General features: G+C 40.6%; 1 protein-coding gene across 7 annotated transcripts, besides 3 other annotated features; it reads left to right on the plus strand.

Moving 5' to 3' along the window:
• Positions 1,376 to 1,975: an enhancer, noted in NCBI's record as "active region_25719". NCBI's record gives its function as "activates an Ori minimal core promoter by ATAC-STARR-seq in GM12878 lymphoblastoid cells {active_cell/tissue: GM12878}" and the evidence as "EXISTENCE:reporter gene assay evidence [ECO:0000049][PMID:35858748]".
• On the plus strand, positions 1,781 to 20,739 carry NUP42 (nucleoporin 42). Of its 7 annotated transcripts, none has more exons than NM_001370443.1 (8): positions 1,781 to 1,939; positions 4,803 to 5,031; positions 6,785 to 6,879; positions 15,572 to 15,648; positions 16,413 to 16,499; positions 16,906 to 16,980; positions 19,191 to 19,275; positions 19,901 to 20,739. In NM_001370443.1, exons 1-8 carry the CDS (start codon positions 1,819 to 1,821, stop codon positions 20,476 to 20,478), a joined length of 1,347 nt encoding a protein of 448 aa, NP_001357372.1. In that variant the 5' UTR covers positions 1,781 to 1,818; the 3' UTR covers positions 20,479 to 20,739. The 7 variants fall into 7 exon arrangements, with proteins under 7 accessions (NP_001357372.1, NP_001357375.1, NP_001357374.1 ...); NM_001370446.1 differs by having other exon boundaries at positions 16,906 to 16,963; NM_001370445.1 differs by lacking the exon at positions 16,906 to 16,980 and having other exon boundaries at positions 4,803 to 5,035; positions 6,790 to 6,879.
• Positions 2,076 to 2,145: an enhancer, noted in NCBI's record as "active region_25720". NCBI's record gives its function as "activates an Ori minimal core promoter by ATAC-STARR-seq in GM12878 lymphoblastoid cells {active_cell/tissue: GM12878}" and the evidence as "EXISTENCE:reporter gene assay evidence [ECO:0000049][PMID:35858748]".
• Positions 12,994 to 13,565: an enhancer, noted in NCBI's record as "H3K27ac-H3K4me1 hESC enhancer chr7:23232880-23233451 (GRCh37/hg19 assembly coordinates)". NCBI's record gives its function as "activates a minimal SCP1, AML or CMV promoter by ChIP-STARR-seq in naive H9 embryonic stem cells {active_cell/tissue: H9 hESC(naive)}" and the evidence as "EXISTENCE:reporter gene assay evidence [ECO:0000049][PMID:30033119]".
• Positions 20,740 to 24,392: the final 3,653 nt, after the last annotated feature.

Genomic DNA, 24,392 nt, shown 5'->3' on the forward strand with positions numbered 1-24,392 from the left:
ATGAAAAGGAAAAACAAAAAATCTTCCAAATTGAAGGAGACACAAGAAATATGACTAAGCAACAATGATTCCGAACTGAACCCTTTTCCTCTAAAGGACAATATTGGGACATTTGGCAAAACATAAATGGAGTCTAAGGATTAGAGAGTAGTAGTGCATCAGTATCAATGTCCTAATTTTGTTGGCTGTGTTGTGGTTATGTAGAATGCCCTGGTTTGTTTGTAGAAAATATACAATAAGTATTTGGATCATGGGGCATTAGGTCTGCAACATAGTCTCAAATGGTTCAGGAAAAAAGTTCTTTGTACTGTTATTTGTAACTTTTCCATAAATTTGTTTCAAAATAAATGAATTGCATTGATTAAAGAAAATAAAAAACTAGTTTGGACAAGTAGTTCCCGTCCTGTAGATTCTGCTGTCTTCAAAATCCAAACAAATTACATGAGCAAGAATGATGGCTCACTCCCAGCTCAATAATCCTAAAACCACCAGCACAAACCTGTAATCCAACAAAGTCAGATCTATTGACTTATTGCAATCAAGAAGACTGCACACCAGAGGAGCTGTGGTGTGTCTCACCGTACAAAATAAAAGGTAGTTATTGTATGTTTTGGCGGGGAGAGTGAAGTTTAGGTGAAATTTAAATGAAATCTCAAAGCATAGCTGTGTGTAAAGGCATTAACATCAGGTCTGGACGAGAATTGAATGTAGGGCATGTTTCCTTGGAAACTGCAAAGTTAAGAAAATACAGAATGTTTTCAGAACCGTTTATCTGAAGCTCTACACCTGGATAGAAATTGAGGCTGCTTCTCTGCGTCAAAGAGACTTAGATCCTCCAGGCAAGGATGGGACTTTTCACTCGTTCTGATATAATTTCAAATAGCAACGTTTATGTGGACTTGAAAGAACAAGGTTTCGGCCAGACGCGGTGGCTCACACCTGTAATCGCAGCACTTTGGGAGGCGGACGCGGGCGGATCACGAGGTCAGAAAATAGAGACCATCCTGGCTAACACGGTGAAACCGTGTCTACTAAAAATACAAAAAAATTAGCCGGGCGTGGTGGCGGGCACCTGTAGTCCCAGCTACTCGGGAGGCTGAGGCACGAGAACGGCATGAACCTTGGAGGCAGAGCTTGCCTCCAAGCTCTGCCACTGTACTCCAGCCTGGGCGACAGAGCGAGACTCCGTCTCAAAAAAAAAAAAAAAAAAGAAGAAATAACAAGGTTTCTCAGTGTGTAGTAAGAATGTACTTAAGTGGTAATACTTTTCCGTTGCAGCATGTCCTAAAAGAAACATTGTTTCCTCTTAACGTCGTCTGGCTTTATTTGACTCTGTTATCCATCCAGATGAAAGGCTAGGCAGTTTGTTACTTTCTCAGCCCAAGCTAAGTTTTACCGTCTCAGCAAGAACGACTCAGTCTCTCAAATCATAGCTAATTCTCCTCTGAGGGCCTTGCTGAAGTTCTGCGTTTGCTTGCTCCGCTTTCCTCTCATTTTGGACCTCCAGCCTTCCTGTAGTCCGAGGCCCTGCACCGGGGTCAAACGCGCCTCCGGTCTTCACGTAACCGTTCAAGCATCCCTCCTTCCCAGGACACACTCAAAGCGTCAGAGCGGTCCGCTCTTCTCAAGTCCTATTGGCTCAAGTCCATGCGTCTCATGGCACTGCCGGGTGAGAGGCGGAAAAAGGCCTTCCCAGGCGCGAGAAGATGACGTCACAGTAGCCCGGCCGGGCGCCGAGGTTGCCTTAGGGCTCTCTGCCCAGTAACAGGCATCGAACGGTGCAGACTGAAGACGCCCTCCGTCAGCGACGCCGTCGCAATGGCCATTTGTCAATTCTTCCTTCAAGGCCGGTGCCGCTTTGGAGATCGGTGCTGGAACGAACATCCCGGTGCTAGGGGTGCAGGAGGAGGACGGCAGCAACCGCAGCAGCAGCCTTCAGGTGACTCTCCTCTGAATCCTCCGCGGTAACCGAGCCGGGAAGGGTCCGCCGGCGGGGACCGGGCGTCCCGCGTGTTTCCCGCTGCTGGTGACCCCAACGTGCCCGCGTCGCGGCCTTGCCGGCCCTACTGGGCCCTGCACAACGTTTTTAAACCGAGGGTTTTATCTACATATTATTCATGTGGTCCGTTTTTATTGAGCTTCTGAGGACCTGGGTTTGGGCCTGGATGCTTGTGCGAAACTGAGTTTTTAAATCGGAAGTACCTATCGAAACTACCTTGTAGGTAAATGCCGGAATTGAATATAATTTTTACTAAGTTGTTTTTTCGAGGGTGAGGCTAGCAGCTTGGGTCAGAATCAGGACTTCATTTTGGAGAAGTCGTGGACTTCTTTGAAAAAATCTAATAAAACCGGCCGGGCGGTGGCTCACGCCTGTAATCCCAGCACTTTGGGAGGCCGAGGCGGGCGGATCACGAGGTCAGGAGTTTGAGACCAGCCTGACCAACATAGTGAAACACCGTCTTTACTAAAAATACCAAAAAAAAAAAAAAAAAAAAAAATAGCCGGGCGTGGTGGCGCGCGCCTGTAATCCCAGCTACTCATGAGGCTGAGACAGGAGAATCGCTTGAACCCGGGAGGTGGAGGTTGCAGTGGGCCGAGATCGTGCCACTGCACTCCAGCCTGGGCGACAGAGCGAGACTATCAAAAAAAAAAAAAGAAAGAAAGAAAAGAAAAAAAGAAAATCTAATAAAACCTATAGAGCCATACCGCAAAAATGCACCTGCTCATAAATTTGGGGTGAAATTGGGAATGTGGGACGCCCAGTTAAGGGCTATCCGGGAGGTGAGGAAAGGAGATGCGGGGGCCACGTTGATCTAGTCCCTGGGCCTAGATCATTGTCAAAGCTTTTTATCTTCAAGGAAAGGAGAGATTAGACATGAAACCTTAGAACAACACAAGATTTTTAAAGATCGGGTTAATAATTCGGTGCTGTCTCCCTTCCTTCCCCTCCTTTAGGGCTATTCATCTGACCTTTATTTTTTTATTTTATTTTGAGACGGAGTCTTGCTCTCTCAGTCAGGCGGCTCACTGCGACCTCCGCCTCCCAGGCTCAAGCGATTCTTATGCCTCAGTCTCCCGAGTAGCTGGGATTACGGGTGCCCGCCACCATGCCCTTGATAATTTTTGTATTTTTAGTAGAGACAGGGTTTTGCCATTTTGGCCATACCGGTCTCGAACTCGTGACCTAAGGTGATACTCCCGCTTCCGTCTTTCAAAGTGCTGGGATTACAGGCGTGAGCGACCGCGGCGGGCCTCATCTAACCTTTAAACCTTGTATTGCGTGATGGTTTCACGTCTGATCCCACTTCAGGGAAGACAGTCCTTTTATTTCCTCCACAATTAATCTAGTGAAATATTTCAGACCGAAAATTAGGACTCATGTCTGATGAATGTGAGTGTAAACAAAATTTGGCAGACAAATTGTATTTAGCTCCCAGAAACAAATGAATGTTTCTGGAATTATAAGTATGAAGACCAAAAGCAATGTAAAAAAAAAAAAAAAAAAAAAAAAGGAGGAAGTGAGTTTCTTCAGTTGTATCATCCCCCAGTGAATTTGGAACTTTAGAAGAAGAAGATACCATTAACTTCTACTTGAGGGATCTGGTCTAGCAATCTCCACTTTTTTTTTTTTTTTTTTTAGGGTAGTTTAGAGTTGCAGGATGAACTTTCACAACTGGGCATGTGTGTCATTCTAACTTTTAATATAATTAATGGCTTATCTCTTTATTCAGTCAGAAACAAGATGAATTACCTTAATCTTGGCCCCAACTAGGAAGTGATGAGTAAATGAGATTGCTAAAATGATTTTAAAAAACAAAACAAAACCAATATATAAAGAGAGGAGAGAATCTTTTTGGCTCATTTTGATATTTATGAAATATTGGAAAGCTGGTAGAGGAACTACATGCATTCTGTACACATGTAAATACCATGTATAATCTCTCTGTGAAAATAGGTGTGTAGGTGTTTGCCCAGAGAAAAGACTGCGTCAAATAGACTTAAGCATCTGTACAAAAACAGAGGGTAGAATGTAATCTTTCATATTCGAGAAACTTTAATTCAATGTCCATTTTTCAGCCTTTACTACAGTATAGGGCCTGGTGGGGGAGCAAAGAATGATAAAAACCCAAGTTTTTATCCTGAAGGAGTTTATGATTTATGATGCATGCCTTCTGTCAACTTTTAACTATCAAGCAGTTGTTCATTTAATAAGCTTTGTCAGCTGAATTTAGTAATATATCACTATTTTTCTATATTATTTTCTTCTCAATCTCAAACAAAAATGCAATTGGCCACTATGTGATTTGTTGATATTACAACCTAACTACTGTATATAAATAAAAAATGAAGAGATTGTCATTTAAAATGAGTTTAAATGTAGTGCTTGTTGAATCTTTCTATATTGTCTAGACATACTAAGATATAATGAAGATTTTTGAGATTTTAAAGAACAGTTGCTGGGCACAGTAGCTCATGCCTATAATTCCAGCACTTTGGGAGGCTGAGGCAGGTGGATCTCTTGAGCCCAGGAGTTTGAGACCAACCCCGGGCAATATGGCAAGACCTTATCTCTACAAAAAGTACAAAAATTAGCCAGACATGGTGGTTTGCGCCTGTGGTCCCAGCTACTCAGGAGGCTGAGGTGGGAGGATCGATTGAGCTTAGGAGGTTGAGGTTACAGTGAGCCAAGATCATGCCACTGTACTCCACCCTGGGCAAAAGAGTGAGACCCTATCTCAATTAAAAAGAAAATAGAAAGAAAAGTTGCTAGTAAAATTATTTTGTTTTATTGTTTATTTTAGGTAATAATAGACGTGGATGGAATACAACTAGCCAGAGATATTCCAATGTCATCCAGCCATCCAGTTTCTCCAAATCCACACCATGGGGGGGCAGCAGAGATCAAGAAAAGCCATATTTCAGTTCTTTTGATTCTGGAGCTTCAACTAACAGGAAGGAAGGCTTTGGATTGTCTGAGAACCCATTTGCTTCACTTAGTCCTGATGAGCAGAAAGATGAAAAGAAACTTCTGTAAGTGAAAGTTTTCAGGAAAATTACTATCCATTTGCTTATGTTTTTTCACCTACAATCTTTGTTGTTTCTCTTTTTTTGTAACATCTTTTCACAATACAATATTTTCTTTAAAAAAAGAAATAATGCATTATTTTTAAATCAGAGTAGCAAAAAGAAGAAAAATCACCCACAATTCTATCACTCATAGATAGCCACTCTTTTGCTGTGTATTACCCTAGATTTTATTTCACTTAAAAATATATCATCTTTCTATAATAGTAGAGTGCCTTCCTAGGGGTAATTACGCTTTTTCCACTTTGTGTTGATAACACTATATTGTGAATATCTTTCTAAGATTAGTCCTGCTTAAGTTCATTCTAACTTACAAGTCCTTTACAAAGTATGATGTAATTTAGAACAACTTGTGAACTTGGAGGTCATTTTACCATCTCATTTATTTATTTATTTATTTATTTTGAGACGGAGTCTTGCTCTGTTGCCCAGGCTAGAGTGCAGTGGTACAATCTCGGCTCGCTGCAGCCTCCGCCTTCTGGGCTCAAGCCATTCTTCTGCCTCAGCCTCCCAAGTAGCTGGGATTACAGGCTCCTGCCACCAAGCCAGCTAATTTTTTGTGTTTTTAGTAGAGATAGGGTTTTACCATGTTGGCCAGGCTGGTCTTGAACTCTTGACCTCAAGTGATCTGCCTGCCTCAGCCTCCCAAAGTGCTGGGATTATAGGCATAAGCCACCATACCCAGCCACATATCTTATTTCTTTCTAAAACTTTTACTTGGATTATCCTATTCAAACTGATCTCATTTGATTTCCTACATTTATTATGGAGTAGATACATGACATTTCTTGAGAATATTTATGGTAAAATTTATGGCTGGTGTCAAAACAATGCTTGGCTATCTGTAATGTTCTCTCAACTCATGGTGACTAGGATGGAATTTAAATGTAATTGGTTAGTCTTTTACTTATCCTAATTAAATCAGAACCAGTTGTAGACATGTTGAGTCATATACCATATACAACCGATTTTTTTTTAAGTAAATGAGCAAACAAAACCTTCCTTTCTGCATTTGTTGCAATTCTAAATTTAATACAGTTTTCTCTGTGATAATTCTCCTTTTATTGACATAGTCTAAGTAGGGAGAAACTTTAATTTAGAGCCGAATCTACCCACGGCATTACCACAGATTAGTTGTATGGATGTGGGTCTGTTTCCCCTGTTGCAAAATGTGAGAATTAGATAAAATGATCTCTGAAGTCCTATAACCCACTTTTAAAATATTATGATTCTGTATCACGTAAGTGGTACTTTGTTCTTCCCAGTTAAATGATTATTGATGTTTGTGATAATTAACAAAGATTAAAGTTAGTATTTTAGATTTTAATTCCTAAAAAAAGTATGGTATCTATGATAGTATTTATGTAATTACTATCATAACCAATGTTACATATCATACCAATGATACCATATGATATGGTTACATATCATAACCAATGTTATGTATTAACATTGGTTAATGGGTCAGTGTATTGGAAAGCCAAACTCATTAACTTCTCTGACATTATAATACTATTTGTAACCATGAAATATAGTTCACACTTCTATAAACTTGTGCTTTAAAGAACACTCTTCAGAAAATATAATGGAAAAGTATTTACTAGAATTTAAATTTTCAGTTGTGGAAAACCATTAACAATAAATTTTACCAAGCAGCTAAGAAGATCCTTTACTCTTTTTTTTTTTTTCTTTTTTGCAGGGAAGGAATTGTAAAAGATATGGAGGTTTGGGAATCATCAGGGCAGTGGATGTTTTCTGTTTATTCACCAGTGAAAAAGAAACCTAATATTTCAGGTAACTGAAAAATTGTGCATTTTTAAAGTATGTTCTAAAACTATTATTTTCTAAAACCAAAAGAATGCCAAATAAAGAAATCAACTACCAACTTAGCTACAACTAGGAGAGTTTGGGCATTGTTTAAAGTATTCGAGTATTCTAGCCAAACTTCATAATTTAGAGATTAAGGTTGGAGAATATAGTCTTTTAAGACATATAGTTCTTGGGAGAAAACATTTAAATAAAGCCCAGGAAGAGACTCTACGTTCTTGATTCCCTGTATGTACAACTTTGGAACCTCTTAGCTTCCTGTTGTGAATAGAAGAGTCATCCTGCCTGTCATTAAGGCCTTGGCTGCCTGGTTCTGTTCTTTCTTCCCTGTCTTTCCTTCTAAGAATAGTTGTGTTGAGACCTGTTCTGGAGATAATGTTTAAATGTGAGGAGGCTTAGCTGGGCTACAGGGATAGCAACTTTTTTTTTTTTTTTTTTTTTTTTGAGACGGAGTTTCACTCTTGTCCTCCAGGCTGGAGTGCAGTGACGCGATCTCGGCTCACTGTGACCTCTGCCTCCCAGGTTCAAGTGATTCTCCTGCCTCAGCCTCCCGAGTAGCTGGGATTACAGTTGCCCGCTACCACACCTGGCTAATTTTTGTATTTTTCTAGAGACGGGGTTTTACCATGTTGGCCAGTCTAGTCTAGAACTCCTGACCTCAGGTGATCCGCCCGCCACAGGCTCCTAAAGTGCTGGGATTATAGGCGTGAGCCACCACACCTGGCCTGGAATAGCATTTGCTTTAGAATATTCTCTGTCTCTCTCTCTCTCTCTGGCCTGGAATAGCATTTGCTTTAGAATATTCTCTCTCTCTTTTTTTATTTTTTATTTTTATTTTTTTTTTTGTCCATAGTCCCTAAGCCCTTTCTGGGCTGAAACCTAGACCACCGGGCTTTCCCAAGCCCACTCTGGGTGTTCCTGGGCCTCCGTCCTTTTGAGGAAACAGTGGGTACCTTGCAAATGGGAGCTCTTGCAATCAATATCGCAGAACCTTGGGATCTTTCCTCTGTCTCAGTTCTAGTTGCTCATTTTCTGTGAGCATTTGCATTACAACGCTTCTTATTTATTCACTTGTCCATTTAACAAATATTTACTGAATTTCTTTTGTGCTAAGTGCTAGGAATATAGTGATGAGCAAGACAGACAAGATCCCTTCCTTATGAATCTTACATTCTTGAGGGAGGAAAACAATAAGTGATGCAAATAAACTAAGATAATTTCAGATAATGATATTTTCTATAAAGAAACCACAAAGTATTAAGCCCTTAATCAGCTTAAGTATTAGTACTTGAGTATTAATCCATTCCAAATTGAACCTAATGCCTGTTGCCCTAAAGCAGTGGTTCTTAAAATGTGGATTCCTGAATATAGTTGTCAGATAAAATATGGGACATCCGGTTAAATTTAAATTTCAGATAAACAGTGTTTTTAGTATGTGTACATGCCATGTAATATTTGGGGCACATTTATACTAAAAAAAGTATTTATTGTATATCTGAAATTCAAATTTAACTGGGCATCCTGTATTTTTATTTGCTAAGTCTGGCAACTTTATCCCTGAGGCCCTTTTAGGAGTTGCCTGAGTTCAAAAATATTTTCTGATAATACTAAGTGATTAATTGCCATTTTTCACTGTGTTGACATTTGCACTGTTGGTGCAGCAGCATTGAGGAGTAGAACTACTTGTATCTTAGCAAGAATCAAGGCAGAGGCAATAAATTACTAGTAGATGTCACAATAAAAAAATGTTTAATGCCATTTGAACTTAAGAACTTCCTTTATGAAGAGATAAAAATTATTAATTTTGTTAACCCTTGACCCTGAGTACGCACCTTTTTAGTATTCTGTGTGACAAAATGGGAAGCACACAAAAAGTGTGTCTGCCCCATGCCCAAGTGTGATGAACAATCTTGTGTAATTGTTCAAGTTGGACTGAGCTAGCCACTTTTTTCAAAGACAATATTTATTTGAAAGGAATGACAACTATGGTTATTTAGAAGAAAACAGTTGATAGTGTTTATTGCCAATGAAAAAAATTAAAACTTTCAAGCAAAAATTGAAATTACGGAAAACTTTGTCATCGTGAGCATGATGGCTTCTCAGTACTTAAAATCTCTTCTGATTAAATGGATGGCAACATTCACAAATGTGAGGGCCACACGCAGCAGCTCATGCCTGTCATCCCAGTGCTTTGGGAGGCTGCGGTGGGAGAATGGCTTGAAGCCAGGGGTTTGAGACCACCTGGACAATATAGCAAGACCTTGTCTCTACAAAAAATACAAAAATTAGCCTGAGTATGATGGCATATGCCAAGACTCTTAGCTACTCTGGAGGCTGAGGTGGGGGGATCACTTGAGTTCAAGAGTTCAAAGTTATGGTGAGCTCTGATGGTGCCACCACACTCCAGCCTGGGTGACAGAGCGAGACCCTGTCTCTTTAAAAAATTTTTTTGGCTGTGCACGGTGGCTCACACCTGTAATCCCAGCACTTTGGGAGGCCGAGGTGGGTGGATCATGAGGTCAGGAGATGGAGACCATCCTGGCTAACACGATGAAACCCCATCTCTACTAAAAAATACAAAAAATTAGCCAGACATGGTGGTATGCGCCCGTAGTCCTAGCTACTTGGGAGGCTGAGGCAGGAGAATGGCATGAACCTGGGAGGCGGAGCTTGCAGTGAGCCAAGATTGTGCCACTGCACTCCAGCCTGGGTGACAGAGTGAGACTCTGTCTCAAAAAAAAAAAAAAAAATTTTTTTGATGTTGTATAATAACGTGCCAATGTTTAGAAGTTCTGCATAACTCAGTGAACTGGCATTTTTCAAATGACTTATATGTGATATTACAAAATTATGCATGGCTGAAAGTCCATTCTACATGCATGATAAACCAGTGAATGTTAATATAATGCCACAAAAAGTTCATTAGTATGGCTTGAGTCTATGTTATAGTTAACCTTTAAAAAACTACCACTTGTTAAGTTTTGGTGTAGTATCAAAGAAAAATGTCCACAGTTATTTGAAAAAGCCATTTAAGTCTTCCTTTTCCAATACGTGTCTGTGTGAATGCCCATTTTCTTCATACACTTCAGTCAGAACAACATATTGCAACAGAATGAATGCAGAAGCATATGTAAGAATCCAGCAGTCTTCTATTAAGCCAAACATTAAGAGATGTATAAACATAAAGCAAGGCTATTCATCTTACTAAATTTTCATTTTTTGTTTTGGAAAATAGCTTTTTCATTTATGTAGATAAGTAATTGTTTTCTTACTTTTAAATGAATTAATACTAAGTTTCTCAGTTTTCATTTCAAATGTGGTAATTATCAATGTAAGTAACCCTTGTAAACAAACATTCTTTGGGGTCCTTAATGATTTTTAAGAATGTAAAGGAGTACTGAGACCAAAAGTTTGAGTACTTCTGTCCTTAGGCATCCATTGTATTAATAAATTAACTTTTTCCATGCAGCTATAATAGAATGATACTACTTTTGTCAATTTTGGCTTTTGTTGCCATTGCTTTTGGTGTTTTAGACATGAAGTCCTTGCCCATACATATGTAACAAACCTGCACATTGTGCACATGTACCCTAAAACTTAAAGTATAATAAAAAATAAAAATAAAAAATTAAAAAAAGAATGATACTACTTTTGCCCCATTTTGCAAGACTTGAGAAAATTATCACTCAAATCATTTTCTGTGTTCTGTGGTTTGGATGAGGAATTCTGGTTGAGCACAGCTGGAAGGAATAGGCAATTAGGGGAACAATATTTCTTTAGATAGAGTGGTTATCTATTCCTGGGAGACAGTATTGGAAATGAGTCCTGAATAAAGAGAGGGTATCAGTTATGGGAAGATTTGGGGAAAACATTCCTGGCAGTAGGACTAGCTATTGCAAAGGCCCTGAGGTAAGAACAAGGTTGGCAGTGTTTACAGACTAGTGGGGCCTGAATTACTGGAGGAGAGTAAACAAGGGAAAGTAATATGACAGTAAGGCCAGAGAGATAGCCAGGGGCCAGATCATGTTGGGCCTAATTGCACTGGGCAGGCAGCCATGAAGAACTTTAAGCAAAAGAGGGACGTGATCTGATTAGAAAAAGCTAACTCAGCATGCTGTGTGAGGGGGGAGAAAGGTCTGTTGGGAGCCGTGGCAAAAGTAGAGATAGGGAGACAAGTTAGAAGACATTGCTGCTTGTGACTAGAGTTCATAGCAGTGAAGACAGAATTGGTCATATTTGGGTTCTCTGTTGGAGCTTGAACTGGCAGGATGCTGATTAACTAGATATAGGGAAAGAGAAATCCAAGGTGATTCCTAGGGTTTTTTGGCCTGAGAGGTCAGTAAAGATGGGGAAGACAAGTCATTAGAAGGAATCCAGGGAAACATTTAGTCTTTCCTTTACTCTGAAGCAGGTGTCCTTGGAGTTAATAATAACTGGATTACAAGGAATTCTTTGTAGAAAATATCTTGAACATTTTTTGCCTTTCTTAGTAAGTTTGCCCAATTATAAAAGTTACAGCTTTTGGGCCAGATGTGGTGGCTCATGCTTGTAATCCTAGCACTTTGGGAGGCTGAGGCAGGTGGATCACTTGAGCCCAAGAATTTGAGACCAACCTGGGCAACTTGGCGAAACCCTGTCTCTACCAGGGTGTGGTGGCACATTCCTATAGTCCCAGCTACTCAGGAGGTTGAGATGGGAGGATCACTGGAGCCTAGGAAGTCAAGGCGGCAGTGAGCCACTGCACTCCAGCCTGGGTGACAGGAATGAGACTGTGTCTCAAAAATAAAAAACAAGTTACAGCTTTTGCTTTAGAAAACTTGGAAAGTACAGAAATATATAAATAAAATAAAAATAACCTGATATCACAGAGGTAACTACTACATTTTAGTATATTTCTTTCGAAACATATACACACACAAACATATTTCTTGTTTATGTATACAATTGACCCTTGAACAACATAAAGTTTAGCGGCACTGATCCTCTGTGCAGTCAAAAATCCACGTATAAGCTTTGACTCCCCAAAAGCTTAACTACTAATAACGTACTGTAAGAGAAAAGAAAATGTTAAGAAAATCATAACGGATCAGGCGCGGTGGCTCACGCCTGTAATCTCGGCACTTTGGGAGGCTGAGGCGGGTGGATCACAAGGTCAGGAGTTCGAGACCAACCTGGCCAATGTGGTGAAACCCCATCTCTACTAAAAATACAAAAAAAATTAGCCGGGCTTGGTGGTGCATGCCTGTAATCCCAACTACTGTGGAGGCTGAGGCAGGAGAATTGCCTGAACCCAGGAGGCCGAGGTTGCAGTAAGCCGAGATGATGCCACTGCACTCCAGCCTGGGCAACAGAGCAAGACTTCATCTCAAAAAAAAAAAAAAAAAGAAAAAGAAAATCATAAGGATAAGAAAATATATTGACCATTCACATAGTGGAAGTGGATCATCATAAAAGTCTTCATCCTTATTGTCTTTATGTTGAGTAGCAGAGGGATAGGTGGGTGTGGTCTTGCTGTCTCAGGAGTGGCAGAGGCGGAAGAAAATCCCTGTACAAGTGGCCCCTGTACAAGTGGACCCTGTACAGCTGTGTGTACAGTTGACCTTTGAACAGAACTGCAAGGGTCCACTTGTACAGGGATGTATAAGTTGTTCTATGTGTGTATATATGTATACCTATGTGTCCGGAATTGGTGGGTTCTTGGTCTCACTGACTTCAAGAATGAAGCCACGGACCCTCGCGGTGAGTGTTACAGTTCTTAAAGACATCGTGTCCGGAGTTTGTTCCTTCTGATGTTCAGATGTGTTCGGAGTTTATTCCTTCTGGTGGGGTCCGTGGTCTCGCTGGCTCAGGAGTGAAGCTGTGGACCTTCGCGGTGAGTGTTACGGCTCTTAAGGCGGCCCGTCTGGAGTTGTTTGTTCCTCCCAGTGGGTTCGTGGTCTCGCTGGCTTCAGGAGTGAGGCTGAAGACCTTCGCGGTGAGTGTTACAGCTCATAAAGGCAATGTGGACCCAAAGAGTGAGCAACAGCAAGATTTATTGCAAACAGCAAAAGAACGAAGCTTCCACAGTGTGGAAGAGGAGCTGAGCGGGTTGCCACTGCTGGCTGGGGCAGCCTGCTTTTATTCTCTTATCTGGCCCCACCCACATCGTGCTGATTGGTTCATTTTACAGAGAGCCAAGTGGTCTGTTTTGACAGGGTGCTGATTGGTGCGTTTACAATCCCTGAGCTAGACACAAAGGTTCTCCAAGTCCCCACTAGATTAGCTAGATACAGAGTGTGGACACAAAGGTTCTCCAAGTCCCAACCAGAGTAGCTAGATACAGTGTTGATTGGTGTATTTACAAACCCTGACCTACACACAGGGTGCTGATTGGTGTGTTTACAAACCTTGAGCTAGACACAGAGTGCTGATTGGTGTATTTACAATCCCCTAGCTAGACATAAAGGTTCTCCAAGTCCCCACCAGACTCAGGAGCCCAGCTGGCCTCACCCAGTGGATTCCACACCAGGGCCACAGGTGGAGCTACCCGCCAGTCCCGCGGTGTGTGCCCACACTCCTCAGCCCTTGGGTGGTCGATGGGACTGGGTGCCGGTGGAGCAGGGGGTGGCGCTCCTCGTGGAGGCTCAGGCTGCTCAGGAGCGCACGGAGGTGAGGGGGAGGCTCAGGCATGGCGGGCTGCAGGTCCCGAGCCCTGCCCCGCAGGGAGGCAGCTAAGACCCGGCAAGAAATCCAGCGCAGCGCCGGTGGGCCGGCACTGCTGAGGACCCAGCACACCCTCCGCAGCCGCTGGCCCGGGTGCTAAGCTTCTCATTGCCCGGCAGGGCCAGCCGGCAGCTCTGAGTGTGGGGCCCACCAAGCCCACGCCCACTCGGAACTCCAGCTGGCCAGCAAGGGCCCTGGGTAGCTCTGGTTGCCACTCGCGCCTCTCCCTCCACACCTCCCTGCAAGCTGAGGGAGCCAGCTCAGGCCTTGGCCAGCCCAGAAAGGGGCTCCCACAGTGCAGCGGTGGGCTGAAGGTCTCCTCAAGTGCCACCAAAGTGGGAGCCCAGGTAGAGGAGGTACCCAGAGCGAGTGAGGAATGTGAGGGCTGCCAGCAAGCTGTCACCTCTCACCTATACATATATACGTATACATATATATGATTAGGATCATAATCTAGTTTTTCTTTGTTTTTTGTTTTGTTTTGTTTTTTTGAGACAGAGTTTCGCTCTTTGTTGCCCAGGCTGGAGTGCAGTGGCGCCATCTCAGCTCACTACAGCCTCGGCTGGCCTTCCGGGTTCAAGCGATTCTCCAGTCTCAGTCTCCCGAGTAGCTCGGATTATAGGCATATGCCACCACGCCGAGCTAATTTTGGTATTTTTAGTAGAAACAGGGTTTCGCCGTGTTGGCCCGGCTGGTCTTGAACTTCTGGCCTCAGGTGATCCACCGGCCTTGGTCTCCCAAAGTGCTGGGACTACAGGCGTGAGCCACCGCGCCCGGCTGTAATCCAGTTTTTTTTGTTTTTGCTTTTGTTTTTGTTTTTGTTTTGAGACGGAGTCTCGCTTTGTTGCCCAGGCTGGAGTGCAGTGGCGCAGTCTTGGCTCACTGCAACCTCTGCCTCCCAAGTTCAAGCAATTCTCCTGCCTCAGCCTCCCGAGTAGCTGGGATTACAGGCTCATGCCACCACACCCGGCTAATTTTTTGTATTTTTAGTAGAGAGGGGGTTTCACCATGTTAGCCAGGATGGTCTCAATTTCCTGACCTCGTGATCCATCCGCCTCAGCCTCCCAAAGTGCTGCAACTACAGGCGTGAGCCACCGTGCCCGGCCCTAGTTTTATATTCTAATTTTTGCTTTCAGTTTGTCTCTGGTACTAAAAATATTAGAATGAACACCCTTATACATAGCAACCTTTGTTTACATATATAACTATTTCCCAAGGTTAAATCCTATAAATTGTATTATAAGTCACAGGATATGAATGTTTTTCAGGCTTGTGATGCTTATTAACAATTATCCCTCCCAGAAAACTTGTACCATTTTAATTCCCTTAACGGTAATTTAGGAAATGATACATTTCACCACATTTGGAACAACAGTAAATACCAGCTTTTAAAATTTCTGCCAGTCTGATAAGTAAAGCATTTTATCTCTATTTTAAGTTGCATTTAACTTTATTTCATTTATTTACTATTTGATTTTTTTTGTGTGTGAATTGCCTGTTCATTATCTTTGCCCAAATTCATTTACTTTTCTCATTTATTTGTAAGAGCTATTTGTACATTAGGGCATTAGTTCTTCTCTTGTCATATATGTTAAAATTGCAATTTTCCTAGTGTACCATTTGCCTTGTAATTTTGCTTAGTATAGTTTCTGGCAGAATTTTTAAAATAAAAGTTTGAATATAAATGTAGTCAAATCTTTCTCCTGTGTTTGTTGTTCATTCTACGCCACTTATCTTTAGAAAATCTTCCCCATTTAAAGATCAGAATAACCAACTATATTTTACTGTAATTTTACACTTTATTAAACATTAAGTAGAGTGTAGGCTTTAAGTTTCTTCCTCATGGTTATGAAAATTTTCTAATCAACATTAGATATTTTCTTGTTTAGCACCTCTAGCTTTACTATCAAAATTATTGGCATTTATTTTAAAGATTCCGATTGATTCCTCACTTCAGGTTTTACAGACATTTCACCAGAGGAATTGAGGCTTGAATACCATAACTTCTTAACCAGCAATAACTTACAGAGTTATGTAAGTTTGTTTCCTATTAATCTACTGCAATAACAGATGAGCTCTTAATTACTGCTTTCTTTATCGTGGCTTGTGTTTTGGCAAAACCGATGAGGTCTATGATCTTTTTTCAGGAGTAGGCTATTTTTCTTTTCTATATTATTTTCATTGAATTTGGTTGGTTATTAAAATGATAATATATTTTTACTTTAATAATTAGGAATATTACTATTTTTATTATAAATTACCCAACAGTCAATCCCAGAAATGAAACCCTTTTATCATTTGACAGATATTTATTGAACATCTGTTAGGTACCAATCCAGTGATGAATGCTAGAAAAACAAAGTTAAATAAGATACAGTCTGTAATACAGATTAACATCCTCATATATCAAATATCAAAAAAAATTAAAAATCTTGACTAGAATAAGTTGAGTACCTGAAGGAAGCAGTTTAAATGCTGTATTTTTCTGTTTCTACAGTCATGATCATGCATTTCAACTAGTACATGTATTCACCGCCCATCCAAATATAACTAACTACGTGCTGCCAGGTACTTGTGATACTAACCAGATGATACAAGGAGTTGAACGGGAGAGGGAACTGGAGCTGGCATATCTTTGACAAATAGGCCAAGTCAATGCAAATTTTGCAAGTCATGGGCCATAAAACTGTTACATAAACCTTTTGTGATTTTGGCAAAGAAGTATGTGAAGTTTTTATTGAAGAAACTAACTTAAACATACAATATTGAACTGTTATTTTTCTGTCTTCCGTTTTCAGCTAAATTCTGTCCAACGTTTAATAAATCAATGGAGGAACAGGGTAAATGAACTGAAAAGTCTAAATATATCAACTAAAGTAGCTTTGGTGAGTATGGGAGAGTTTTCTTGAGGGAAGTGTCTTACCTATTGCTTTTTTGCAGAGGATATTTTACTTTAGATTTGGAAAGCAAAACAAAAATTTTCTATCAAGAATTATGATACACACATTCCCAAAATAGCATCACTTAAGAGTCAGGGTCTTGAAATAGTTTTCTCTGTGTTCCTTGGTCAGAAAAGCAGAAATAGTTATGCTTTTTAAAAGCTTTTTAGGGTAAAGTTTTTAACTTTGGTAGTGCTAGTTTTGAAAATGGCAAACTATTACATAAGTTTAAGTATTTAAGGTTATCTGTATGTAAAAAGAAATTACTTTGAACAGTTATATGAATGCACATTTAGAATGTAATGTATCGTTTTGCGACTGAAGAACACAGTATGTTCCTTGTCTTAAACAGAAATGCCTTTGGAAGATATATACCCACCTGTCTCCAAAGATCTATGGTCCCGACTGTGGCAAGTTCATTATCTTTGTAAATAAAGTTATGATGTTTCTACACCCATTAAAAAGTTCTTAAGAATTTTATTTTAAAATAAGATATTCACATTTATAATTTTAATATTTCCAATTTCTCAGATGGTTTCTACTCTGTATAAGGATATGAGAGTAATGTCTCCCTACACTTAGTGAATGGTTGACAGTCCCAACACCCCACCCCTTTCTTAAATATGTGCTTCCTGAATAACTAGACTCTTGTGCAAGCTAATTTCTTTCATCTTTTAGTTCTTGTAATGCTATTTGAATTTAGTGGGACCTCTTGGAAGTAGTCTGTCCTTGTGTGAGAGGTGGCCCACCATCACCATGGATGAGAGCTGATGGAGAAAGGATAACTGAGTCCAAAGAACTGTGGAACTTCCCTCAGGGCTGGAAGGTCCCTGCTCCTTGCTAACTGCCCAGGGCCCCTTCCATAGGTTAGAATGTGGGACAACCCACCCATAGCTGACTTAACATGTATCAGGAGTTCATGCCTTCTTTATACTGAATGGTAACCCATTGTATGGATATAATTTGTTTATCATCTGCCTGTTAATGAATATTACACTGAGGGAGAGAAACCAGACCAAAAAAAAAAAAATAGTGTAGACCATGTGATTCCATTTGTATGAAACTCTGGAAAAGACAAGTCTCATTTGTAGTGATAGAAAGCAGACAGAGTGGTTGCCAGGGACCAGGAGCAAGAATGCTTTTGAGGGCTGGGTGCAGTGGCTCACGCCTGTAATCCCAGCACTTCGGGAGGCTGAGGCAGGCGGATCACAAGGTCAGGAGTTTAAGACCAGCCTGACCAACATGGTGAAACCCGGTCTCTACTAAAAATACAAAAATTAGCCAGGCATGGTGGCACACGCCTGTAATCCTAACTACTCAGGAGGCTGAGGCAGGAGAATCACTTGAACCCAGGAGAGGTTGCAGTCTCAAAAACAAAAGCATTCTTTTTTTTTTTTTTTTTTTTTTTTTGAGGCAGAGTCTCACTCTGTCACCCAGGCTGGAGTGCAGTGGTGCCATCTCAGCTCACTGCAAGCTCCGCCTCCCGGGTTCACGCCATTCTCCTGCCTCAGTCTCCCGAATAGCTGGGACTACAGGCACCCACCACCACGCCCAGCTTTTTTGTATTTTTAGTAGAGACGGGATTTCACCATGTTAGCCAGGATGGTCTCGATCTTCTGACCTCATGATCCGCCCGCCTCAGCCTCCCAAAGTGCTGGGATTACAGGCGTGAGCCACCACACCGGCCAAAGAATGCTTTTGAGGCTTCCAAATGAAAGAAATCGCTTATGTTTGCTTTGGATGATTAAGAAAGTCTTCTTGAAAGGAAGGAGCAAATACAAAGTTCCTTGAAAGTAGGATTAAGATTTCAGTAAGCAGAGATGAAAGACATTTCTAGAGCACAGAACAGCAAGAACATAAAGTACTTTCAGGGAATGGGAAATGTTTAATGGATTTTTAGTCATAAGCTTTTAATTATATAATAGTGGATCTACTTCGAGTATTAGACTGGGTATTCTATAAAGGTCCTTTTTACCTAATATCTAGATTTCTTGATAAATGCAGATCTACCCTTATAGACACTGAAAAAAATTTAAAAATATTTTTCTGATTATAATATCTGCTCATTGTAGAAATTTAGAAAGTATAAAAAAGCATAAATAAAATTTAAATCACCTGTAATTTATCAGCCAGAGATAATCACTGTTAACTTACTAATGTACATTTTTTATGCATATTCATATTACTAGTTGTGATTATACTGTTTATACAGTATTATGTCTTATCCTTTTCAACATCATATTATGGGCATTTTCCATGTTAAGCATTTAACTTTGCCTTTTTTAATGCACTTTTTTCTTCTCTTTTCTTTTTTTGAGTCAGAGTCTTACTTTGTCATCCAGGCTTTCCCAGGCTCAAGTGATCCTCCCACCTCAGGCTCCCAAATAGCTGGGACCACTGGCTAATTTTTTATAGAGATGGGGGTCTCGCTGTGTTGCTGAGGCTGGTCCCAGACTCATAGGCTCAAGCCCTTCACCCTCCTCAGCCTCCCAAAGTGCTAGGATTACAGGTGTGAGCCACCACACCCAGCCTTTAATGCACATTTTAAAAACTTGAATTTGTCCATAAAGTGTATAGAAAAGATACTGGAGCACTATTCATCAAGCACTTTATTATTTGCACACTTTTTTTTTTCAGCTCTCTGATGTAAAGGATGGAGTAAATCAAGCAGCACCTGCATTTGGATTTGGCAGCAGTCAAGCAGCAACATTTATGTCGCCAGGTAAGTGATAAAGTAATGCAGGACTTCACTGATTTAGAAAAATTAGATTTTATAGGTTTCAAATTACAAGCCTGAATCGCCATTTTAAATTACCTTCGTAAATTCTACAACCTTCCATCATAGAGCCTCAAAGCATTTGACTCATTAGACATTTGTGAAAGGGAGGCCAGATTGGGCATGTTCTTTGAAAGACACTTAAGCTTTAGAAGTACATTTTAGGAATGAGTTTTCAGGAGTTTCGTAGAAGTACATAGCTATGATAGCAGCACCTTTGAGAACTTTCTTGTCACTGTGTATAACAGCATAGCATTGTCCTCAGGTAGCAGCTCTGGTGAGGTAAGTAGAAACCAAAGTGAAAGTCTATTCCCTAGTCCCTGTGGTTTCTCCTTGGGTGAAGGTCGATCAAGGTGAAAATGGGATTGTTAGCAGAAAAGACAGGCAGCAGGCTTTAGTGGGTAGTTCTAGCCTCTCATTTTTACTTTCCTCATCTCGTCCGTCCAGTAAGCTTCTCAACACTGAAACATGACATAAATAAGAAAAAAAGATAGGGGGAGGAAATAATTGTGACATTTTTCTGACCGTAATAGATTTTTGTTGTTTTTTTTGTTGTTGTTGTTGTTTGTAGGCTTTCCAGTCAATAACAGCAGCAGTGATAATGCTCAGAACTTTAGTTTTAAAACAAACTCTGGATTTGCTGCTGCCTCTTCTGGAAGCCCTGCTGGTTTTGGGAGTTCCCCAGCATTTGGAGCTGCAGCCTCTACCAGTTCAGGTATCTCTACTTCTGCTCCAGCTTTTGGATTTGGGAAGCCTGAAGTCACATCGGCTGCATCATTTTCATTCAAAAGCCCTGCAGCTTCCAGTTTTGGATCACCTGGATTTTCAGGACTTCCAGCTTCCTTGGCAACAGGTCCTGTCAGAGCTCCAGTGGCCCCAGCCTTTGGAGGTGGCAGTTCTGTGGCTGGTTTTGGTAGTCCGGGCTCACATTCTCACACTGCTTTTTCTAAGCCATCCAGTGACACTTTTGGAAATAGCAGCATATCCACTTCTCTGTCAGCCTCAAGCAGCATCATTGCAACAGATAATGTGTTATTCACACCCAGAGATAAACTAACAGTAGAAGAACTGGAACAATTTCAATCCAAGAAATTTACTCTGGGAAAAATTCCATTAAAGCCTCCACCTCTGGAACTTCTAAATGTTTAAAAGGGCAATTTTAAATACAAAAAAGAATGATGTTTAAAATTGCTTTGAGTGATTCATACAGAGATGTATATATGCATACATGTATATATTCATAAGGAATATAAGCTTCCATCAATAGTGATTTTAAATTTGATTTTTTTCTTAACTCTAAATATTTAAGTAAAAAGTAACAAAAACTCTGCAAGCAAGGGAATTTTTTTGTACTGTAATTTTGAATGGAACTGAAAAATTATGCACGAATAAAGTACTTTTCTCATGCCATACCACTTTACTGTCTCACAATTTAAAGTTTTAAACTTTTTTTTTTAGGAAGGAGATAATTTCTGTAATTATTAGGGGGAACATGCTCAAATATTTAACCTACTTTTAGAGTAAACATTAGTAGCATGACTTCATGTTCAGGATTCTCTCAAAGAGATAAATCAGTTTGTAAAGAGTGACAAGCTTTTAGTTTTAGAACCATAGGGGCATTTCCCCCCCGATAAGTTTGGTTCCCTCTCAACTTTGGCGGTCTCGTGGACCACCATTTGAGTTTTCTTCAACAATCTTAGGCTGCTTTTTATTTTGGCCTCACTTTTATAGAATTCTATTTATTCATCACATTAGTCTGTCAAATGGATGAGTTGTAAGAGAAACAAATTGTGATCTCATGTGAATAAATAATGTGTGTAGTGGGGTCAGGATTCACCAGTTTCTGTTTCTAGATCTTCTCAGGCATGGCCAGGTACAGTAGCTCACACCTGTAATCCCAGCACTTTGGGAGGCTGAAGCGGGCAGATCACTTGAGGTCAGGAGAGTTCGAGACCAGCCTGGCCAACATGGTGAAACCCTATCTCTACTAAAAATACAAAAAATAAGCTGGGTGTGGTGGCGGGCACCTGTAATCCCAGCTACTCAGGTGGCTGAGGCAGGAGAATCACTTGAACCCGGGAGGCAGAGGTTGCAGTGAGCTGAGATCACACCACTGCCCTCCAGCCTGGGTGACAGAGCGATACTCCATCCCCTTTCCTGCCCTCCCCCAACAAAAAAAGAATTATTGTGCATGTTTGGATCTCCCTGTGTCCTCAGATTGAGGGAGTAAGATTTATATTTTACATATGGATGATCCAAGAAACTAAATGCCTGTCACGAGTTGAAGCAGGTATATCAGACTTCTGCGCTTTCTCAGTCCTCAAAAATTGCATAGCTAGCACTGCCAGAGCAGTTACTAACACGGTTCTGGCATTCAGCTGATTTTTCTAAGTGAATATAAAACCTTACATAATAAAAGATATGCCCTCCAAATGATTTTAACGTATGCAAAGGATTCAGTCCTCAAAAGACCTGCATTCTCCATTACACTTTTGTTGTTGTTCTTGTTGTTGTTGTTGTTATTGTTGTTGAGACGGAGTCTCACTCTGTCGCCCAGGCTGGAGTGCAGTGGCGCGATCTCGGCTCACTGCAAGCTCCGCCTCCTGGGTTCACGCCATTCTCCTGCCTCAGCCTCCTGAGTAGCTGGGACCACAGGCGCCCACCACCACGCCCGGCTAATTTTTTTGTATTTTTAGTAGAGACGGGGTTTCACCATGTTAGCCAGGATGGTCTTGATCTCCTGACCTCATGATCCGCTTGCCTCAGCCTCCCAGATTTCTGGGATTACAGGCATGAGCCACCATGCCTGGCTCCATTACACTTTTTGAGGAGCTGCATGACTCATCTGACAGTTCTGGAACCCCAGTGTTTGGTACAGAATCTATACTATAACCAGGGGATATATATTTGAAACCATGCTGGTGTAGAGATGGTAAATAGAGCATAAGTTCCTTTAGAAGGAGCAAGATTAAAACAAAAAGAGCATAAATTCCTTCTTTGGTCTCAAGCTCTACAGACTTTCCAGTATTCGAACTAATACTTGAATCCTAGAATTTTCCTGCCCCGCCCCCCCCCCCCCCGGGATGACCCCTACACTACCTCTAAATTGCATACAAGCTCCCTGAGGTCTCAGTTGAACTTCCCAGTGTCCTGGAAGATCTCAGAAAATCCTAGTTAAAAGCCCATTGTTTCCAACTGTGCCTGATTATAGGAATCACCTGGGGTGTTAAATAATATATCCAGATAACATATCCAAATTACAGGAGCTGCCCATTGGGATGGGCTTGGGAATATGTCAACAGGTATTCCTTGTGGTCCTTCAGGCAAGTTTGGGAAACAGGACTATCCAGCTGGATTTAGGCTACTTAGTAATACCTGATTTGGGAGTTTTAATTGTTGAAGTCTGTTTTCTGTGCTCCCATATAGACAAAAATGTGGGAATTTAACAGGATCCGAAGTTTTTTAAAAAGCACAAATAAGTGCTACAGGCTACTAAAAAATTTTGAGAAACTAAAGCAGAGAGGCCCACAAAGTAGAAACTAGCACCATGCATACATACTGGTGTCAGAAGTCAAGAAAACTGGTAACTCCCAGACCTAGGCTAAGGGGCATCGCGGCTTCAGAAAATCAGAAACAGGTAACAATGAGGTGGCAGCAGCTGGGTATAAAGGTAGGTTGAGTGTTCAGACCCCAAGAGGGAGGTAGTAGAAGGGAAAAGGCACCCACAACAAAAGGATGTGCCAGCATCTTCTGGATGGTATCTCCTAATCTCATATCCAGTGAGACTAGCAGAGCTGGACTAACTAAGAGGCATACCCTAAAATAGGCAAAAATAGCCTGCCTTCACAGCTGCTGTAATAGCTGTCCTTTTCACCTAAGGTCTAGAGCAAGTGACAGAATTGTAGATAAGGTATAGCAAATAAACTGATTTAACTCGATTGATTATCTGATCACAGATTAGAAGGGGAGAATGGTAACAGCTGAGAGCTGATTAAAAGGGGAGAGAAAGTGAGCTGATATTAAAACTAAAAGGTATAAAATGATTTAGCTATGCAGTATTATTCATGAGTAAAATAATTCAACTTGAAGCATCAAACAATGATTTAATTGTGGTAGATACATACATTGGAATACTAAACAGCCTTTCTAAATGACTTAATAGAGAATAACTTGGAAATGTTTTCATTCTGCAATCAGTGGACGAGAGTTTGCTATAAAAAGAGCATGTACAGTGTGATCCAATTTGGAGAGAAAGAATATATTAATGGGGGGGAGGCTAAAACTTAACAATAATAGCTCAAATTTTAGTGAGTTTTTGCTATGTGCCAGACAATGTCCTAAGCATTCTGTATCTAGTATATTAGCAAATTGCCTCATCACAACCATATAACCTAGGTGCTATTATAACAATTCTCATTTTCAAAATGAGAAGAGCAAGATTTGGAGACATTAAATGACCTATCCAAAGTCACTCAACTTCCAAGTAGTTGAGTTGTAATTCAAACACTGAATTTAAAGGGGCCATGCTTTAAACCACTCTGCTATACCACATACTAGATTATGAGGACACTTTGTCTTTTTTTTTTGTATTTTCTACAATAGCATTACCTTTATATGTTTCCCCCATTTTTCCTCATATGAGTACAATTTGCAGTCCCACCCCAAACTTACTGAATCAGTCTGTATTTTAACAAGACCCACCAAATGATTTGTATGCACATGAACATGTCAGAAACTATTTCATGTGTAAAGGAGATGTACAAAAATGTACACAGTATTGTTTATATAGCAAAACAGAAAGCACCAGAAGTCCATCCACGGGATAATGGATAAACTTTGGCATAATGGAATATAACTGTATAATGACTCAAGTTACTTGTATAAACAACCACCAAAAAGGGGGAAGGTACAGAATAGTATGTATGATATACCATTTAAAGTACAAAAGAGCAAAACAATACTGTAGTATTATGTATGGATTCATAAACACAGGAATAATAGCATGTGGATAATAAGCACTGATATGAGTTGGCTGTGTCCCCACCCAAAATCTCATCTTGAAT

Source organism: Homo sapiens, chromosome 7, assembly GCF_000001405.40.
Source record: "Homo sapiens chromosome 7, GRCh38.p14 Primary Assembly".
Classification (NCBI taxonomy): Eukaryota; Metazoa; Chordata; class Mammalia; order Primates; family Hominidae; genus Homo; species Homo sapiens.